Genomic DNA, 7,164 nt, shown 5'->3' with positions numbered 1-7,164 from the left:
TTTGGTTCTGCGTATTTTTTCCTTGCGGACCTAAATTAATTTTTAGAAAGTTCAACTATCTTCCCTTCTATTGTGGTTTTTCTAGCTCTAATATTCTGTGCAATTTTTTTTTTGAAAAAAGAATTGTGTTTCTTGGACACAGGGTGGGGAACATCACACACTGGGGCCTGTCATGGTGGTCTTGCGGGAGGGATAGCATGGGGGAAATATTTAATGTAAATGATCGGTTGATGGGTGCAGTGGGCCAGCATGGCACATGTATACCTATGTAATGAGCCTGCACGCTGTGCACATGTACCCTAGAACTTAAAGTATAATAGTAAAAAAAAAACAAAAGAAAAAAGAACCGTGTTTAAATCCCTTGACAGTATTTAATGCCGCTCCGTATATCTACCTTTGTGAGATTAAAGAGACATTACAAAGAGGATTACGAATAAGGAAGAAAACTCCTTATTTCTATTAATTAGATATTTATAGGAGAGTACTTCATTTTTATATATTGATTTTATGTGAATTTTATTATTTTATCATCTGTAAAGCTACTGTTTATTGGCTCTACTTAACAGATTGGGAAATAAACTCAGTGAGCTAGGATACTTGCCCAAGGTAACACAGCTCATATGTGACAAAGCCAGGATTTGAACTCAAGCCTTCTGACTTCAAACCTTATATTATCCCACAACATCATCCTTTGATTTGAAATTAAGGTATATGTATCAACCATACGGGATTTATTGAACTCAGGAATTGATGTTTGAATGCTGGATCTTGTCAATGACATTAATATATTTGAATGAGTATAAATTGATGTCAAAATACTGTCCTGGGTTTATCTGAAACTTCTACTGATTTTTAGTAAGAAGTGTGCTGATTTCTAGTTTCCAGTTCTACATGTAAAGAGCTTGGAACTTGTTACTCTCATTTTTATAAGAAAAATGCTGAAGAAACTGAAAATTAGCAACTCTCCCAAGAACCATCAGAGAGTTGAGGTCACAGGGAAAATTGTTGCCCTGAGAACTGGAGAGACAGGTGGATACAGAGAATTACCAGAGCAGAGCCTGCAGTGGAACCAGTATCAGTGAGAACACTTTAAACTGTAATAGATAAATTGCTGGAGGCTCAGTATGGAGGAGCTTGAGAGTTAAAAAATTCCCAATCTTGTGGGGACATACTATCTTGAGTTTTACCTCCAGGATCCCCAGTAGACTCCTACTGTGAAGATTGGAGAAAAATCCCTTATGCTTCTTGCTGGGAGAGGGGGAGAGCAATCATTTGGAAATAGCTCAGACATCTTTGTTCTCCTTAACAATGCGTACCCTCAAGGGAAACTGTTTTACCAGACCCTAACCAACTAGGGGAAAAGGAAGGCAAATACCCAATTCCAGCCTCCTCTAGCCTTTAATGTGGGACAAGGGATAAACTCAACTTTGGCTCACTAAAAGCCTGAGATCTAATCGTAGGATTAAAGAACACTTTTCCAACAGGCCCCTGTATAATAACAAGCGATCATAATGGAAAGAACTACAAATCTCAGACTTTATTTAAGAGACAGTCTCCAGGAAAACATAAAGACAACAGGAGAGACAAAAACGGGGACATCAGGGGAAATTTTGGCCTCTGACACCACAGCTATGGCAAACAGTCAATACTGCCTATACTCTAGCCAGAAAAACACAAAACCTCACACTAAAGGCCCATTTACCTCAGTTCTTTTTATGTGATACATCATGTCTGGCTTTCAACAAAAGATTACAAGCCATGGTGAAAGGCAACAAAACAAAACAAAGAAGACACACAGTAAGTATGAGAACGAAATTTACTTATGGCAGATATTTTAGAATTATCAGATCTGGAATTTAAAATAATCATAATGAATATGCTAAGGGCGCTAATAAAAATTGTGGATAACTTGCAAGAAGAGATGGGTTATGTAAGCAAAAATGGAAACACAAAGAAAGAATCAATAGAAAATGATAGAAATAAAACATATTGTAACAGAAATGAAGAATGCCTTTGATGGGCTAGTCAGTAGACTGGACATGGCTGAGGAAAGAATTAGTGAGTTTGAAGATGTGTCAACAGACACTTTTCAAACTGAAAGGTAAAGAGAAAAAGGAACAAAAAAAAATGGAACAGAGGATCCAAGAACTGTAGGACAATGACAAAAGGTGCAACCCATGTGTAATGGGAATATCAGAAGGAAAGAAAGAAAGGAACAAAAAAAATCTGAAGTAAGAATAGCTGAAAAATTTCCAAAATTAATGACAAACAGAACACCACAGATCCATGAAACTACAAACATAAGGAGGATAAATACTAAAAATCTGTAGGCATAATCAATTGCCCTTGACATTGTGGCCATAATCATATTCAAACTTCAGAAAATCAGTGAGAGAAAATCTTGAAAGCAACCAGAGGAAAAAACACCTTACTTAGAGAGGAGCAAACATAAGGATTATATCAAACGTCTCATCAGAATTGAAGCAAGTGAAAAGAGAGTGAAATGAATATTTTAAGAGTCAAAAGAGAAAACCACCAACATGGAATTCTTGATGCAGTGAAATTATCCTTTGAGAGTGAAGAAGAAATAAACTTTCTCAGACAAACAAAAATTTAAGGAATTTGTCACCAGCAGACCTGCCTTGCAAGAAATGTTGAAATAATTCTTCAGAGACAAGAAAAATAACATAGGTCAGAAACTCCACTCTATGTAACAAAAGAGCATTAGAAAATGAAAAAAATGAAGGAAAAATAAAATATTTTTCTTATTCTTAATTGATCTAACAATAATTTCCTCAAAATAATAATAACAATGTAGCCAGTTATTATATTATGTTGGTGCACAAGTGATTGCTTTTAGTTAATTACTTTTATAATTAAAAGTAATGGCAAAAACAACAATCACTTTTGCAGCAAACTATAGCTTATGAATAAGTGAAATGACTGATAGCAATGTTATAAGGGAGGGAAGGGAAGAGTTGGGAATACCCAGTTATAAGGCGCTTGGACTATTTGTAAAGCAGTATTATTTGAAAGTAGACTTGCATTAATTGTAAATATATATTATAAACTCTAGGGAAAACACTAAATAAATTACAAAGAAGTATAATTCGTATGCTAAGACAGGAGAGAAAATGGAATTGTATAAAATGGTCACTTAAAACTAGAGGAGGCAGAAAAAGAGGGGAAGACAAAAAAAAAAAAAGAAAAGAAACAAAGAACAAGAGTAATATAGAAAACAGTTACCAAAAACAGTTAGAAATGTGGTCAATACTAATCCACCTGTCAATAATAACTTTAAATGTGAATGGCCTAAATATACCAAAAAGTGTATCAATGTGTATTAGTAAATGTTTCTAATCTGTCAATAATAAGATATCCAGGTCTTCCCTTTTCCTCTTCTTGATAAAGGCTCTGATAATTATGCAAGACTGATGTCACTGATATTAGAAGTTGTGGGTAAGGGGGTTAAATTGGAAAGAGTTAGAGAAGATCCTGAGCTGGAATTGAGATGCCACTTAAGCTCCCCTGGGGTGGTGGTGTGCATCATGAGGTCAGCAGATTTTCCCACATATCTGGAGTCCATGCCCATGGGTTTTTTCCTAGTAGTCCCCAAGAACCACAGGCACTAAAGGACCAACCCTGATGATTGTATTGTACTTCAACTCAGTTAGCATTTGTTAATCATTAGCATATACCCAGTGTAGGTGCTGGACAGTAAAAAATGAATAAGACATGGTCTCTGCCACCACAGAGTTGAGCCCATGGACATATAAACAAATTACTTAAAGGATGCTGGATGTCATGATTTATGAATTGTCTAGTTTTTATATTCAGAGGTTACAAACCAGTAGTGTTTAGATAGATTTTCTTCTGTTTATTTAAATTTAAAAAACTGTTGCCAATATTTATAAATTAGGAGAATTCACACAAAAATAAAGATTTTCAGCCTCTCTGGGAAAACTAAAAGGTCTGACAGCACTGGCTCTACCTTCCCACACAGCAACAATAGGTCAGAGCTGAGCCACGGCTATGTCCTTTCGATAAGGCATGCATTCTCCTGTTCACTACATTCTCCACCACTCCCTATTGTCTCTGACATTGAGGCCAAGTGTCAGGTACTTTTTATCCTTGTGTTTATAGTGTTCTCCTGGGTCCATTTTTCTCATATACATTACTTTCCAGCCTTGTGAGCGTTTGAGTTTATAATCACTATTAAACTTTACTTTTCACAAAAAGCAATATATAAATAAGAGTCAAATGAGTAACATGTTACTCGAGTAACATAAAATACTCATAAATAATTATAAATACTGATAAATCATAAATTTATTTTTATTAATTAAACAATCAATTAATACATATTTACTTAAATAATTAATGAATAATTAAATTTTATTTATCTATTGATTTTTTTAAAACTTATACTTTAGGTTCTGGGGTACATGTGCAGAACATGCACATTTGTTACATAGGTATATACGTGCCATGATGATTTGTTGCACTCATCAACCTGTCATCTACATTAGGTATTTCTCCTAATGCTATGCCTCCCCCAGCCCCCACACCCCGACAGGCCCCAGTGTGTGATATCCCCCGCCCCGTATCCATGTGTTCTAGTTGTTCAACTCCCACTTATGAGTGAGAGCATGCAGTGTTTGGTTTTCTGTTCTTGTGTTAGTCTGCTGAGAATGATGGTTTCCAGCTTCATCTATGTCCCTGCAAAGGACATGAACTCATCCCTATTTATGGCTATATAGTATTCTATGGTGAGTATGTGCCACATTTTCTTTATCTAGTCTATCATTGATGGGCATTTGGGTTGGTTCCAAGTCTTTGCTATTGTGAACAGTGCTGCAATAAACACATACGTGCATGTGTCTTTATAGTAGAATTATTTATAATCCTTTGGGTATATACCCAGTAATGGGATTGCTGGGTCAAATGGTATTTCTAGTTCTAGATACTTGAGGAATCGCCATACTGTCCTCCACAATGGTGAGCTAATTTACACTCACACCAACAGTATAAAAGTGTTCCTATTTCTCCACATCCTCTCCAGCATCTGTTGTTTCCTGACTTTTTAATGATTGCCATTCTAACTGGCGTGAGATGGTATCTCATTGTGGTTTTGATTTGCATTTCTCTAATGGCCAGTGATGATGAGCTATTTTTTCACGTTTGTTGGCTGCATAAATGTCTTCTTTTGAGAAATGTCTGTTCATAGCCTTCACCCACATTTTGATGGGTTTTTTTTTCTTGTACATTTGTTTAAGTTCTTTGTAGATTCTGGATATTAGCCCTTTGTCAGATGGATAGATTGCAAAAATTATCTCCCATTCTGTAGGTTGCCTGTTCACTTTGATGGTAGTTTCTTTTGCTGTGCAGAAGCTCTTTAGTTTAATTAGATCCCATTTATCAATTTTGGCATTTCTTGCCATTGCTTTTGGTGTTTTAATCATGAAGTCCTTGCCCATGCCTATGTCCTGAATGGTATTGCCTAGGTTTTCTTCTAGGGTTTTTATGGTTTTAGGTCTTATGTTGAAGTCTTTAATCCATCTTGAGTTAATTTTTGTATAAGGTGTAAGGAAGGGATCCAGTTTCAGCTTTCTGCATATGGCTAGCCAGTTTTCCCAACACCATTTATTAAATAGGGAATCCTTTCCCCATTGTTTTTGTCAGATTTGTCAAAGATCAGATGGTTGTAGATGTGTGGTGTTATTTCTGAGGCCTCTGTTCTGTTCCATTGGTCTATATATCTGTTTTGGTACCAGTACCATGCTGTTTTAGTTACTGTAGCCTTGTAGTATAGTTTGAAGTCAGGTGGCGTGATGCCTCCAGCTTTGTTCTTTTTGCTTAGGATTGTCTTGGCTATGTGGGTTCTTTTTTGGTTCCATATGAAATTTAAAGGAGTATTTTTCCAATTCTGTGAAGAAAGTCAATGGTAGCTTGATGGGGATAACATTGAATCTATAAATTACTTTGGGCAGTATGGCCATTTTCACGATATTGATTCTTTCTATCCATGAGCATGGAATGTTTTTCCATTTGTTTGTGTCCTCTCTTATTTCCTTGAGCAAAGGTTTGTAGTTCTCCTTGAAGAGGTCCTTCACATCTCTTGTAAGTTGTATTCCTAGGTATTTTATTTTCTTTGTAGCAATTGTGAATGGGAGTTCACTCATGATTTGGCTGTTTGTCTGTTATTGGTGTATAGGAATGCTTGTGATTTTTGCACATTGATTTTGTAACCTGAGACTTTGCTGAAGTTGCTTATCAGCTTAAGGAGATTTTGGGCTGAAACGATGGGGTTTTCTAAATATACAATCATGTCATCTGCAAACAGAGACAATTTGACTTCCTTTTTTCCTAATTTAATACCCTTTATTTCTTTTTTTAAATTTTTTTTCTTTTTTGAGATGGAGTTTCGTTCTTGTTACCCAGGCTGGAGTGCAATGGTGCGATCTTGGCTCACTGCAACTTCTGCCTCCTGGGTTCAAGCAATTCTCCCACCTCAGCCTCCTGAGTAGCTGGGATTACAGGCATGCGCCACCATTCCTGGCTAATTTTGTATTTTTAGTAGAGATGGGGTTTCTCCATGTCGGTCAGGCTGGTCTCGAACTCCCGACCTCAGGTAATCTGCCTGCCTCAGTCTCCCAAAGTGCTGGGATTACAGGCGTGAGCTACCACACCCAGCCTCCTTTATTTCTTTCTCTTGCCTGATTGCCCTGGCCAGAACTTCCAATACTATGTTGAATAGGAGTGGTGAGAGAGGGCATCCTTGTCTTGTGCTGGTTTTTAAAGGGAATGCTTTCAGTTTTTGCCCATTCAGTATGATATTGGCTGTGGGTTTGTTATAAATAGCTCTTATTATTTTGAGATATGTCCCATCAATACTTAGTTTATTGAGAGTTTTTAGCATGAAGAGCTGTTGAATTTTGTCAAAGGCCTTTTCTGCATCTATTGAGATAATCATATGGTTTTTGTCATTGGTTCTGTTTACGTGATGGATTACATTTATTGATTTGCGTATGTTGAACCAGCCTTGCATCCCAGGGATGAAGCCGACTTCATGGTGGATAAGCTTTTTGATGTGCTGCTGGATTCGGTTTGCCAATATTTTATTGAGGATTTTTGCATCAATGAATAATTAAATTTTAATTTTTT

Source organism: Homo sapiens, chromosome 7, assembly GCF_000001405.40.
Source record: "Homo sapiens chromosome 7, GRCh38.p14 Primary Assembly".
NCBI classification, from domain to species: domain Eukaryota; kingdom Metazoa; phylum Chordata; class Mammalia; order Primates; family Hominidae; genus Homo; species Homo sapiens.
The sequence above is the reverse complement of the archived record's forward strand: the minus strand, read 5'-3'. Positions refer to the sequence as shown.